This window comes from Homo sapiens, chromosome 6 (assembly GCF_000001405.40).
Source record: "Homo sapiens chromosome 6, GRCh38.p14 Primary Assembly".
Taxonomy (NCBI): Eukaryota; Metazoa; Chordata; class Mammalia; order Primates; family Hominidae; genus Homo; species Homo sapiens.
This window is the reverse complement of record NC_000006.12, coordinates 101,233,639-101,249,100: the sequence shown is the minus strand read 5'-3', so window position 1 is coordinate 101,249,100 and position 15,462 is coordinate 101,233,639. Positions and strand designations below refer to the sequence as shown.

The 15,462-nt window shown below is 35.1% G+C and overlaps 1 long non-coding RNA gene across 1 annotated transcript in view; it reads right to left on the bottom strand.

Annotated features, from left to right (window-relative positions):
- Nucleotides 1-480: 480 nt before the first annotated feature.
- Nucleotides 481-15,462, bottom strand: part of LOC107984041 (uncharacterized) — a 367,164-nt gene continuing 352,182 nt past the window's right edge. The window contains exons 7-8 of the long non-coding RNA XR_007059692.1: nucleotides 4,445-4,471; nucleotides 481-641 (exon numbers count right to left, since the gene is read on the bottom strand). This is a non-coding gene — a long non-coding RNA (uncharacterized LOC107984041). The remainder of the gene's footprint in view (nucleotides 642-4,444; nucleotides 4,472-15,462) is intronic.

Genomic DNA, 15,462 nt, shown 5'->3' with positions numbered 1-15,462 from the left:
AACCCGGGATACGGAGGTTGCAGTGAGCCGAGATCATGCCACTGCACTCCAGCCTGGCGACATAGCGAGACTCCATCTCAAAAAAAACGAAAAAACAAAAAAGTAAACCAAACCAAAACAAAACAAAACAAAAGGTAATTCTGTCATTTGCAATAACATGAATGAATGTGGTGAAAATGCAGAGATTTTCAGATTAAATAAAAAGCGAGAACCTAGCAAGACTAATAAAGAAGAAAAGAGAGAAGAATCAAATAGACGCAATAAAAAATGACAAAGGGGATATCACCACCGATCCCACAGAAATACAAACTACCATCAGAGAATACTATAAACACCTCTACATAAATAAACTAGAAAATCTAGAAGAAATGGATAAATTCCTCAACACATACACTATCCCAAGACTAAACCAGGAAGAAGTTGAATCTCTGAATAGACCAATAACAGGCTCTGAAATTGAGGCAATAATTAATAGCTTACCAACCAAGAAAAGTCCAGGACCAGACGGATTCACAGCCGAATTCTACCAGAGGTACAAGGAAGAGCTGGTACCAATCCTTCTGATCTATTCCAATCAATAGAAAAAGAGGGAATCCTCCCTAACTCATTTTATGAGGCCAGCATCATCCTGATACCAAAGCCTGGCAGAGACAAAACAGAAAAAGAGAATTTTAGACCAATATCCTTGATGAGCATTGATGCAAAAATCCTCAATAAAATACTGGCAAACTGAATCCAGCAACACATCAAAAACTTATCCACCATGATCAAGTGGGCTTCATCCATGGGATGCAAGGCTGGTTCAACATACGAAAATCAATAAATGTAATCCAGCATATAAACAGAACCAAAGACAAAAACCACATGATTAGCTCAAAAGATGCAGAAAAGGCCTTTGACAAAATTCAACAACCCTTCATGCTAAAATATCTCAATAAATTAGGTATTGATGGGACATATCTCAAAATAATAAGAGCTATCTATGACAAACCCACAGCCAATATCATACTGAATGGACAAAAACTGGAAGCATTCCCTTTGAAAACTGGCACAAGACACAGATGCCCTCTCTCACCACTCTTATTCAACATAGTGTTGGAAGTTCTGGCCAGGGCAATCAGGCAGGAGAAGGAAAAAAAGGACATTCAATTGGGAAAAGAGGAAGTCAAATTGTCCCTGTTTGCAGATGACATGATTGTATATCTAGAAAACCCCATCGTCTCAGCCCCAAATCTTCTTAAGCTGATAAGCAACTTCAGCAAAGTCTCAGGATACAAAATCAATGTACAAAAATCACAAGCATTCTTATACACCAATAACAGACAAACAGAGAGCCAAATCATGAGTGAACTCCCATTCACAATTGCTTCAAAGAGAATAAAATACCTAGGAATCCAACTTACAAGAGATGTGAAGGACCTCTTCAAGGAGAACTACAGACCACTGCTCAAGGAAATAAAAGAGGATACAAACAAATGGAAGAACATTCCATGCTCATGGGTAGGAAGAATCAATATCGTGAAAATGGCCATACTCCCCAAGATAATTCATAGATTCAATGCCATCCCCATCAAGCTACCAATGACTTTCTTCACAGAATTGGAAAAAACTACTTTAAAGTTCATATGGAACCAAAAAAGAACCTGCATCGCCAAGTCAATCCTGAGCCAAAAGAACAAAGCTGGAGGCATCAAGCTACCTGACTTCAAACTATACTACAAGGCTACAGTAACCAAAACAGCATGGCACTGGTACCAAAACAGAGATATAGATCAATGGAACAGAACAGAGCCCTCAGAAATAATGCCGCATATCTACAACTATCTGATCTTTGACAAACCTGAGAAAAACAAGCAATAGGGAAAGGATTCCCTATTTAATAAATGGTGCTGGGAAAACTGGCTAGCCATATGTAGAAAGCTGAAACTGGATCCCTTCCTTACACTTTATACAAAAATTAATTCAAGATGGATTAAAGACTTACATGTTAGACCTAAAACCATAAAAACCCTAGAAGAAAACCTAGGCATTACCATTCAGGACATAGGCATGGGCAAGGACTTCAGGTCTGAAACACCAAAAGCAATGGCAACAAAAGCCAAAATTGACAAATGGGATCTAACTAAACTAAAGAGCTTCTGCACAGCAAAAGAAACTACCATCAGAGTGAACAGGCAACCTACAAAATGGGAGACAATTTTTGCAATCTACTCATCTGACAAAGGGCTAATATCCAGAATCTACAATGAACTCAAACAAATTTGCAAGAAAAAAACAACCCTATCAAAAAGTAGGCGAAGGATATGAACAGACATTTCTCAAAAGAAGACATTTATGCAGCCAAAAGACACATGAAAAAATGCCCATCATCACTGGCCATCAGAGAAATGCAAATCAAAACCACAATGAGATACCATCTCACACCAGTTAGAATGGCAATCATTCAAAAGTCAGGAAACAACAGGTGCTGGAGAGGATGTGGAGAAATAGGAACACTTTTACACTGTTGGTGGGACTGTAAAGTAGTTCAACCATTATGGAAGTCAGTGTGGCGATTCCTCAGGGATCTAGAACTAGAAATACCATTTGACCCAGTCATCCCGTTACTGGGTATATACCCAAAGGATTATAAATCATGCTGCTATAAAGACATATGCACATGTATGTTTATTGCGGCACTATTCACAATAGCAAAGACTTGGAACCAACCCCAATGTCCAACAATGATAGACTGGATTAAGAAAATGTAGCACATATACACCATGGAATATTATGCAGCCATAAAAAATGATGAGTTCATGTCCTTTATAGGGACATGGATGAAGCTGGAAACCATCATTCTCAGCAAACTATCGCAAGGACAAAAAACCAAACACCGCATGCTCTCACTCATAGGTGGGAATTGAACAATGAGAACACATGGACACAGGAAGGGGAACATCACACACCGGGGACTGTTGTGGGGTAGGGGGAGGGGGGAGGGATAGCATTAGGAGATATACCTAATGCTAAATGACGAGTTAATGGGTGCAGCACACCAACATGGCACATGTACACATATGTAACAAACCAGCACGTTGTGCACATGTATCCTAAAACTTAAAGTATAATAATAATAAAAAAAAGCGAGAATCAACTGTGTGCTGCCTACCGATGCAAAAAAAAATGGCTTTTAAATATAGAAAAATATATGCTAAAAGCAAAAGAATTGAGGAAAGTTATACTATGCTAACACTAATTATGGAAATGCTGGAGTGGTTATATTAATATTAGTCAATATCAGAGCAAAGAATATTACCTTGGATAAAGTTATTTTGTGATGATAAAAAGGTCAATTCCTCAATAAGCATAACAATCCCACCTAGTAACAGCTTTAAAATATATTAACCAATAACTAATAGAACTGCATGAAGGAATTGACAAACACATAACTATCATCAGAGATTTTAACACCCCTCTCTCTCTCTAAGAGAACAAGTAGAAAGAAGTATTATAGTAGACATAAACAACACTATTAACCGATGTCACTTAATAGGTGTTCAGTGAAGACTCCATGCAACAACAGAAGACTACAAATGCTTTTAACTGTATGTGAAACATTTAACAAGATAGATCTTATTCTGGGGCAAAAAAAAAAAAAAAAGGAAACCAAAATTTCAATAAATTTTCAAGTATCGAAATCATACTGTGTTCTCTTTGGAAATAAATTAGAAACCAATAACAGAAATATTTCTGGAACATCCCCTAATTAAAAAAATATAAGTAACACATAGAAGGAACTCATTGGTCAAAATGTCAAAAGGTAAATTATAAATATTTTGAAGTGAGTAAAAATGAAGCAACATACAAAATTTGTGGGATAAAGGTAAAGTAGTACTTTGTATAAAATCTGTAGCACTAGATGCCTATATTAGATGAAAATCTTAAATAAATGTAGGTTCTGCCTTATAAAACTAAAAAATACAAGTAAATTAAACCCAAAGTGAGCAAAGAATAAAATAAAATAAAATTTAAAGAAAAAAATCAATAAAATAGAAAACAAGAAAAATACAAAGGAAATCAATGAAACCAAGAGCTGGTTATTTGAGAAGATCAATACATTTAATCATCCATAATGATCAATTTTTAAAAAACAAACACATACAAATTACCAATAGTAGTAATGAGAGGTAAGGTATGCGTCATTACAGAATCTATGGATATTAAGCATATACTAAAGCAACATTACGCATAACTTTATGCCAATGAGTCTGACAATATAAATAAATAGATAAATTTTTTGAAATACGTAAACTACCAAAGCTCACTAATAGGATCTGGATAGCCCCATATCTGTTAAAGAAATTGAATTTGTAGTTAGAAATCTTTCCACTGAGAAAACTGCAATCTCAAGTAGCTTCCTAGTTTATTTTTTTCAGGAAACCAAAGAGCACAAAGTACTTACCAACTCTTCTATGAAGCCATCACTGACCTGAAAGCAAAATAAAAACATTACAAGCAAATAAAACTAAAAATAATGCCCCTCCCAAATACAAATGCAAAATTATTAATAAAATTTTAGCAAACAAAACTCAACAATATAGAAAATGAATACTACATTTTGTCCAAGTGGGATATATCCCAAGAATGCAAGGTATATTCAAAAACTCAAAAAGAAAAAATTATGTTATCATTATTAAAACTGAAAATTCATAGTTCATAATAAAAGAGATGACCTTAGAAAATAATCAAAATGGAAAAATAATACAATAGCATCAAAAAGTGAAATAAATAGGGATGCATCTAACAAAAGATGTGCAAGGCCTATATACTGAAAACTAAAATACACTGCTAAGAGACATCAAAGCAGACCAAAATAAATGGAATTATACACTGTTTGATGGGTCATAAGACCCAATATTTTTACGATGTCACTTCTAATTTGGATTTGATGTCATTCAAATTAAAATTCTTGTAGACGTTGTTTTAAAAATTGGCAAGCTAAATTCTGAAATCTAACATCAAAAAGAAATACAAAGGATGTACAATAAGCAAAACAACTTTGATTTAGAAAAAAATGTTGGATGACTAACACTACCTAATTTGAATACTTAAATCTACAATAATCAAAACAGTGTGATTCGGTATAAAGATAGAGAAAAAGAAGAATGGAACAGAATAGAGAGTTCAGAAATAGACTCGAACATATATACAGATAACTGGTATTGAACAAAGGTTCAAAGGCATGTCCTTAGAGAAAGGATAGTCTTTTCAACAAATGGTGCTGAAACTACTGAATATCCATATGCAAAAAACTGAGCTTTTTCTATAATTTGCACCATATATAGAAGTTAGCTTAAAGTGGATTATAGACCTAGATATAATACATTAAACATAAATCTCTAGAATAAAACAAAACACTTTTGTATCCTTAAATTAGACAAAAGACAAGATAAAACATCAAAAGTATAGTCCATCAAAAAATATATGGACCTTTGCAAAATTAAAAACGTTTGCTTTTTGAGAGACTCTGTTATAAGAATTCAAAAACAAACCACAGACCAAAGAAAATATTTACAAATCATATATCTGATAAAGGATTGGTATTTACAATATATAAAGACATCTTAAACTGAATAATAAGAAAACAACTCTATTTTTTCAAAAATGGAAGAGGATATACTAATGGCAAATAGTCACAAGAAAATATAATCAAGATAACTACAATGAGATAATACTACATACCTACTAAAATGACTAAAATTAAAAATATTTACCACACCAAGTGTTAGTGATGGGGCGGGGGAACTAGAACTCACATACACTGCTGGTGAAAATATGAAATAATACAACCATATTGGGAAACAGTTTGGAACTTTATTAAGAAGTTAAAAATATATCTATATCACATGTAATTTCCTAAGAGAAATGAAAGTATATATCTATACAAAATCTTGTATATGAGGGCCTATAGTAGCTTTTTTGGCAATAGACCAAAAATGGGTACCACCCAAGCATAAACCAACTGGTAAGTGGATAAACAAGTTGTGATGTATCCATACAATGAAATAATATTCACCAATAAATAAGAATTAACTATTAATCTACAAAACAACTTGGATGAATTTTAAAATAATTATGCTAAGTAAAAATAAAAAACAAAAACATAAAGCAAGCTGAGACAAGAAATGACCAGGGTCTGGGTAGCATATTGAATATAGCTAGGCTGGAAGTCAGATATACCCCAGCACTTTTTAGTTAAGTATGTGATTAAACCTAATCTTTGGGCAACTTATTTTAGATTGTATTCACTGTCATATGAAACAGAGAAACAATAATGTCAATTGTCTTTTTAATATTGTTCTCTGAGGTATATTATCATTCAAAATTATATCAATCACATTAAAAAGTTGAGACTTGACATAATTAGCAAAGTATTACTTGATCTCCCAAAGCCCTGCCTTCATTGTATGTAGCTTTATTCCTGGTAACCACAGGCTGCATTACTGTGACTGCATTTTCCCTACGTTCCAAAAGCTAGCAGATATTGCAGATATCTGCTAGTTTTTGGAATGTAGGGGAAATGCATCATCACTGCCTTTGTCTTAACCATGTCTGAATAGAGTTCACAAGTTTAGTAAATAGAAATACAAATATTGCATGAACCATAGATATAATAAAACATAATTCTTTGTTTATCTGAAATTCAAATGTGACTGGGAATTCTGTACCTTCTCTGGCAACCATAGATAAGATAATTTCAGGTCTTTGTCTTTGACATTCTATATCCGAGACACACTTTTGGTACCAGAGAAATCATTGTAGTTATTTCAAGCAGAATGGAATTGAATAAAGGGAATTCTAGGCTTGCAAATATGTCAGAAGGCGGAAAAATAACAGGGAAGACTCCTTCTACCTCTTAAGTTTGTCATTAGATTTCAGGAAAATCTTCTCACGTCAGGAACTGCAGGAAAACAGTTGCAATGCCCATGGCTACCGACAACACCAAAGAGATAATTCCTGAGGGAACTCTCTAAAGAGGCCCATTTGGAGGCTGATGCAAGTTTCCCATCTTCACATATGACCATTAAAGGCATATATATGTAAATGTTTGAATCAGCTTTACTTTTAAGAGCCAAAAACTTGTAACAATACAAATGTCCATTAAGAGTGCAATAGATAATAAAATATGGCATGGTCATATAATGGACTACTACACAAGAACTAAAAAATGAAATACTGCCACATACAGCAAATGGATAAGTCTTACAGACAACATACTGAACAAAAGAAGCCAAACAATGCAAAAACCATACATAACTGTGTGAGACAATTTACATGAATTCCAAAAGCAGGCAAAGCTAAACTGTTAGAAATCACAATTGTGGTTACCTCAGGTGGGTATTGATTGACAAATGACATGAAGAAAACCTCTGGGATGATGAAAATGTTCTGTGTCTTTATCAGGGTGTTGGTCACACAGATACTTGCATATGTAAATATTCACCAAGCTGTAAACTTAATAATAATGCATTTTACAGGGTACATTGGGTTTTTTTTGTTGTTGCTGTTGTTGTTTTAAGTCATATTTTCTGGAGCCCACACAACTATCTACCACTACTGGAGGAGGAATAACATTCCCCACTTTCCTTACAAATTCCAAATGTCATCAAGTGTCTCTTGGTAGAAACTAGAACTATATGAGCAAGGGACTCTAGAGAATTCAGTGCCCAGGATTCTGACCCCAGCAAAACAGGGGACAGGATAAGATGGAGTAGGAATGATGCTGAGTGTTCTTCACAATACTTTTATCTTGTAGAGAGTGAATGAAAAGCAAAGAATAAAAGTGTTTTAGATTGTGGGCACTGCAGATAATATTTTTAAAATAATCCCCTTGGAATATCCTACTATCTATAATTTGTGGTTAGCTAGGAACTAGAATATTTAAATTATGACTCCCTATACAATTGCATGATAAACATTTAAATTTTCCTAGAACATGGGAAAAAATCTTAATTAGACTATACTTTAACAAAACAAAACACAAGCTTTAATTCCCCAAAAAGGAATTTTTATTGAAACGGCAGAAAATGCAATATAATTACAAACATATTTCAATAACTTTCTTATCATAATTGCAAATATAAGAGATATATACTATTTTCATGTTTTTATTTTCCTTGTTTTATTTACCTTCCTTAGAAAGGAAATCTTTGAATGCACCCTGTCTAGCTTCAAGTCCATCAATCCAATTTTATGACTTTTTAAATTAGCACATTTTACTACAGAGAAAAATACTTGACATGTTATAAAGTGCATTGCCATTAATTAATAAACTAAATTGCCATGCTTTTTAGGTTTTTCTTCAAATTAAAAAAAATCTGTAATTATGCATACTACAAACCAATAGTTCAAGGTTTTATCACACCACATTACAATGACAAAACACATTACAGAGAATAAGGGTTGCAAGTCTTACAAAACACTATAAAAGTATCTTTTTAAAGATTTGTTGCCTACTCTTCTGCAAATTTTCATCTTTAATACTATCCCTACTGCTATAATTTGTCCTGTATCTTCCAGCATCCTGTTATGGCTCAGACAATATCATTTAACAAGCAAGGCCCATATACTTCTTTTTAATTTGGAAGCCTCCAGTTGTATTCTTAACTTGGTATAGATTTGTCACATTTCCTTATGAAGAAGAACACAGGACAACTTACATAATACAGATATGTTGTTTCATTCCATCTGTCATTTTATCTTTTCCCACCTCCACTGAGTATGGGCATCCTAGGTTCATTTGGATGCATTGTGCTTATATATCCCAGCATGTTCCTGAAGAGAAAAACACTGTCCCTCTAAACTATTCTCCCTACCTTCCTCATAGCATATTTTGTAATTTCAAGTTCACTGGCCATTTCCTTCTGATTTATGGAACACCACTGCACTGCAAGTGTCATCCAATAACTATTCATGAGAACAGTTGCAGCAGGATTACTGGGGGAAAACAGCAACTTGAAACTGTGTTTAACCATGTCAAGGGCCTCTCTTTTCCCATATTCTTTTTAAAAACATGACTAGCACCTTATTGCAATATTGTAGTCATTTCACACTTTTCCATACATCATTGAATACTCATCAGAGGTTGATGAGAACATATTCAAATGTCTTGAATTCAGCTCTATGGCTCTCAGACCCACTAAAATATATGTTACTTTTCTTTCCAAGCTTTTGTTTCTTCATCCCTGCTTTGATTTCCGCATGCTATTTGGCATTCTTTTCCTAATTCCTGTTTCTTTCATGATATCTGAACTCATTTCATAGACTATTCTTCAATTCTTCTCTTCTTCATCGCACTCATCTAAATCTGACCACAGTTCTCTTAAATCGTTCAACATGCTTCTCTTGAATGTTTTAATATATGTAGAGTGTACCCACTTTTTTGTTTTTAATTCTCTTTTCTCCCATCTTTATCATATTTTTTTCTTTTGTTCTCTTAGTTACTTATATCTTAATTTTCTCTCTTGCTTTTTTTTTAATCTATGCTTACAAGAGGCCCCATGATACAGTGGGGAAGCATTAAACAGGAAAGAAGTCTTTGGTTAATATCGGTACATTAACTCTTCCTCTAACCTTGGACAAACTACTGCTCCTCTACCGGCCTCCTTTTTTTTCACTTGTAAATGGGAAGATTGGTTGGAATGTTTTGTGAGGTTGCATCTAGTGCTGGAAATTCTATAATTCTAAGAACCAGTAATAATATCTATACCTATATCTATATCTATATCCGTATCTATATTTATATTATATCTATGTCTAGCAAGCTAGCTATTTTCCTGTTATATTCAATCTGTTTCTTGCACTAAAGTAGAATCAAACTTTTTCTCTCAGTTTCCTGTTCTAAATTCTGCAATATTATATTACTTATTGTTCTTATTCTGGCTTTCACTTGTACTTTATTTTACTGATTTCTGTCTTGTTTTTGGTCTGAACTCTAGAGAAATCAGAGTATAAAATTTATCAGTATCCTGCTCTGTACATTTTAAACCTGGCAACATTTGGTAAACTATGCAACAGTTCATGAGCATATGTACATGTGAATACACACACACACACACACACACACACACACACACACTGCTGCCTTTGGAATCATAGTGGTCTAAGTTCAAACTCCAACTATATACAGTCATGTATCACTTAATGATGTAATTATGTCCTGAGAAAAATTTGCCGTGATGTGATTCTGTCATTGTGCAAACATCATAGAGTGTACTTACAGTGACCTAGATGGTATCACCTACTACACACCTAAGCTATATGGTGTGCTCCTATACTGCAATCCTGTATATCATGTGACTGTACTGAATACTGTAGGTAATTGGAACACAATTATAATAAGCATTTGTGTATCTAAACACAGAAAGGTAGAGTAAAAATGTGGTATAAAAGATAAAATGCAGTACACCTGTATAGAGTGCTTACCATGAGTGAAGCTTAAAGGAGTGAAAGTTGCTTTGGATGAATCAGTGAGTAATTGGTGAGTGAATGTGAAGGCCTAGGACATTACCACACACTACTGTAAACTTTACAAACACTGGACACTTAAGCTACACTAAATTTATAATAACTTTTTTCTTCAATAATAAATTAACCTTAGCTTAAATTTGTCTTTTTAATTTTTAAAACTTTTTGGGTCTTGTAAATACCTTACATACATTGTATATAAATACCTTATATCTTATAATACAAACACATTGTACAGAGATACAAAAATATTTTCTTTATATTCTTATTCCATAAGCTCTTTTCTACTTTTTGTTTTTTAACTTTTTAAACTGTTTTATTAAAAACTAAGATGCAACACACACATTCATCTGGACATATACTGGGTCAGGATAATCAATATCACTGTTTTTCACCTCTATGTGTTGTCCCACTTCAAGATCATCAGGGGTAGTAACATATATAGAGCTGCCATCTCCTATGATAATACTGCCTTCTCCTAGAATACCTCTTGAAGGACCTGCCTCAGGCTGTTTTACACTTAACTTTATCTGTAAGTAGAAGGAGTACACTCTAAAACAAGGATAAAAAGCACAGTATAGTAAACACATACGCCAATAACATAGTCACTTATCATTATTATCAAGAAGTATGTACTATACATAATTTTATGTGCTAGACTTTTATAGCACTGGCAGTGCAGTAGGATTGCTTACCAGCATCACCATGAACACATTAGTAAGTGTTGCGCTGTATTGTTACAATGGCTAAAGGTAATTGTTCAGATACATTATAATCTTATGGTACCACTATTATATATGTGGTAGGTCATTGACCAAACTGTTGTTATGAGGCACATGACTATACTTGTGGACAAGTCACTTCCCTCTCTAAACCTGCATTTCCTCAAATGTGAAAAGAAGGTAATATCTCTACCTCAGAGCTCTGTTATGAGGACTGCACAGGTAATTAATGCATAGCACTCAATACAGCATAGGCATACAGTAGGTCTTCAGTAATTGTCCAGCTGTTTTCCTCCTCCTCATTATTATTATTATTATTATTATTATTATCATTATTATTAAAGACGGAGTTTCACTCTTGTTGCCCAGGCTGGAGTGCAATGGCATGATCTCCACTCACTGCAACCTTCGCCTCCCAGGTTCAAGTCATTCTCCTCCTCAACCTCCCAAGTAGCTGGATTACAGGCATGTGCCACCACACTCGGCTAATTTTGTAGTTTTAGTAGAGATGGGGTTTCACCATGTTGATCAGGCTGGTCTCGAACTTCTGACCTCAAGTGATCCACACACCTTGGCCTCCCAAAGTGCTGGGATTACAGGCGTGAGCCACTACACCTGGCTTATTATTATTTCAAATGCAAGAGCTTCTTGAGGCAAGCCAGATTCCTTGGCCTTCCATGAAGGGCACCATAACTGCGACCTGGTAGAAAGATGGGGTCCTTCAAATCCTTAGATCTATTTTTAATAACTCCTGGAGGAATTCTTCCTTGGTAGATTTTCTGGCAATAATAAGGATTGGCTAGCAATGACTGAATCAACTGTACGTAAAGAAAACTACCTAAGTTTTATTATATGGTGTGAATGGCAGCTCTAGTTTACCTCTTCATCAGTGAGAAACTGATATATCCCTTAGCTAGTGTCATCAAAAGAATAGTATTTGCTCTGGTCCTGAACAAATAGATTTGTCACACACAGCTTCCTCCTTCTTTGTCCAGATAGGAATTCCTTTGTCTGCCAACCACCAAATTCGTGGACTTCACTGTATCCTAACCCTCATTCTCTGCTTTCCCTTTTGCATTACTGGAAAGTATGTCCTGCCAACTTTTCACTTGTGCTCGTGATCCTGTTTCCACTCACCTTCTCTGGGGCTTTTATTCCACGGTCATTCCTGTCTCTCCTGCATTATTTATTCCTTATTCTCTACCATGCCATTACTATCTGCTAATGACAGGTTCTAAGATCTACTCTCTTTAAAATATAAACCTTCCTCGGTTCCAAATCCCTCAGTTACTATTTCATCTCTCATGCCCTTCACAGGAAAACTGAAACAATAAAAGTAAAAATAAATGTTCTCATGTTCTTCACTTCCTTACTTTCCATTCACACTCAGGCTTCCTTCACTTTTGAATCAAAATGCCTCTATCTATAACAATCAAAAACTATCATTTTGTTAAGTCCATATCTACTTCACTGGTTTTCTCTGCTTTGGCCTCTAAGAAGCATTAACAGAGAACTCACTTTTTCTGGAGTATTTTTCCCTTCACTTCCATGGTGTCACATAGCCCTGATTTTCCTTTTCTTCTATCCTCCATCTCCTTTGCTAGACTATCCTCCTCTCTGACTTATTAAGATTTTTCCTAGTTTGGACTGCTAAAACAGAATGCCACAGACAGGGTGATTTACATACAACAAATTTATTTCTCAAAGTTCTGGAGGCTAGAGTCTGAGATTAGGATATCAACATGGTCAGGTTCTGGTGAGGACCCTATTCTGTCTTCTCCTTATGTCCTCATATGGTGGAAAGAAGGTAAGAGATTCTCTGGGGTCCCTTTGGTAAAGGCACTAATCCCATTCATGAGAGATCCACCTTCATGACCTAAATACCTCCCAATGGTCCCACCTTCTAATCCCATCACATTCAGAGTTAAGATTTGAACATATGAATTTGGTGGGGAGGGGGGGTACATTCAGTTGATAACAATATCGGGGAGCCTAGGAGCTCTGTTCTGAGATGTTTGCTTTCATCTTTCTGTAAGTAATCTCTCTGTGTGTAATCTCTTCCAGTTTCATAGATAGAATTGCTGCTTTTGAACTGACTTCCAAAATCTTATCCCTGGCACCAAGCTCCACTCCTGTATATCCAGTTTCTGCTTTACGTCTCTACCTAGATCTCCAATAGGCATCTCATATTTGACACGTTCTAATCACCCTCTTAATATAAACCCCTCAGTTCCTTTTAAAATCTTCCCATCTCATTAAATGGTACCACCATCTTTCCTGTTAGACTAAACTAAAATCATAGCCTTACCACTGGCTCTTCTCTTTTCTTTTTATCCCCTTAAATTTAATTTAGGTAGGCCCTGCCTATTATTTCTATCTATGAAATGCATCTCATAATATCCATTTATCTCTACCTCAGATGTTGCCATAAATATAAAGAATACATGGCTCCAGTAGTCAATCCTTAGGGCTTTCCAAGAAAGGAGTATAATATAAAGATATTTGAACACGTGTTAATAACATGTCTATTATTTGAACATGTGTTAATCCAAAGTGCCTTCAAAATGCATAACTCTGTCTTTCTAATTTAAATCTGCAACTTTTAAGAATAATCAGAATTTTTAAGTTTACAATATGCATATAGCAATAAATAAAATTTAAAATATGCTTTTGATAGAAAATATCTCTTTATATTTGAAGTTAGAACTTAATATATCTCATTTACTTCTTCCTCTTCTTCCTCTTGTATCCCCATGCCCCTAACTCTTAGACAGCCCAAGAAACCGTATTTGGGGACATTACTATGTAATCTCTTCATGTTTTAAAGGAACAAATTGCTAACACATAATTTTTTGGTGTAGGATCTAGCAAATATATCTTTCCCCTTATGTTAATCTTCTGATTCTCCTATTGTCACCTCACTTGCTGAGCAGGCTTGTAAATTTTTGTTTATTTTGCTTAAATCCCATAAGCCCTACACAACCTTCCTGGAGGCTAATATAGTACAGACCACACACTGATATGCTGGAAATAATGCCACCCTCTGGGTATCTTCTGTTCATGTATGTAGATTATGGACTTCAGCAGTTGGCTTTCCCTGCTCTCTAGGGGAGACTCTCCAAAGTGTTTCTGCTGTGGCTCTTCTCCAATATTTTAAGAGGACTAAAATCTTACTTTGCTTTCTCCCTTTACCATCTTTCTCTTCCCAGATTTTACTAACCAATAACTTTTTATCTTGCCCTCCAGCTTCCAAGAGGACTCTAGTTTCCTCAGATATCTCTTCAAGTATCTCCTGCCAATCAGAATTCGATGCTGTCCTACTCCATAGTATTTTCTGCTGCAGTTTTGTTAAACATATTTGCCTTAGTTATTCTCTCAAGATCTCCTTTGAAATCCTTCTTGTCCTACTGTCATTCTGTCTCACTTTGTTTCCCAATTAAGTTTTTCTCCTATCTTATATTTCCACTTCTGCTATAGCGTCTTTATTTTTACCACTATCAAAGTCACAATATCTGTTAGCCACTCCTTTTCTGACCTTTGCTTTTTTCCTGATATTCTTTAGTTTTGGCATATTCAGAAGAATTACTAAAATAATCTCAAGAGTCTTGGCCTCCTTTTTCATATTATGTATTCTTCAAAGTTGAGTCTATTTCTTTTTGCCCAATATGAAGCTTACAGCAAATTTATTATTAACAAGGAATTTAATTATCTCAAACCTGTATCTTGTGTTCAATCCAGCTGAGTTTCTAATCTGTGTTCCCTGGCTGAACAACTCTTTTCAGCCTCCTGTGACAAATCTTCACTGTGATTCTCCCCTTGAAGGCATCACCAGCAGCCCTCCTATTCTTTTAGAGACTAAACAAGTTCTTTCATGGCTACTTTTAAGCTCCTCCCTAAGTTAATCCTTAAAAAACACAAAATATCTAAACCAACAGGATTAGTTTGCTTTACTTTTCCTTCTTCTTCTGTTTCTCTTTTCCACACTAACTCAGCTTCTTAGTATGGTCCCTCTTTTTCAAAGTCCACATTTGCATTTGGCCTAGACATGGACAGTGGGCTTGGTCTGAGCTCAGGAATACCACTGAGAGGTCATCTCAGGTAAACTTCGCCCACTGTGGCTCTCCCAGAAAGAGTCTTTCCTTCTCCACAAGGATCACAATAGCCTGAGCACATACTATTCTGTTGCTTTCCCTTGACTCCTCCAACGCCTGACCTACCTGAGTCATTTGCC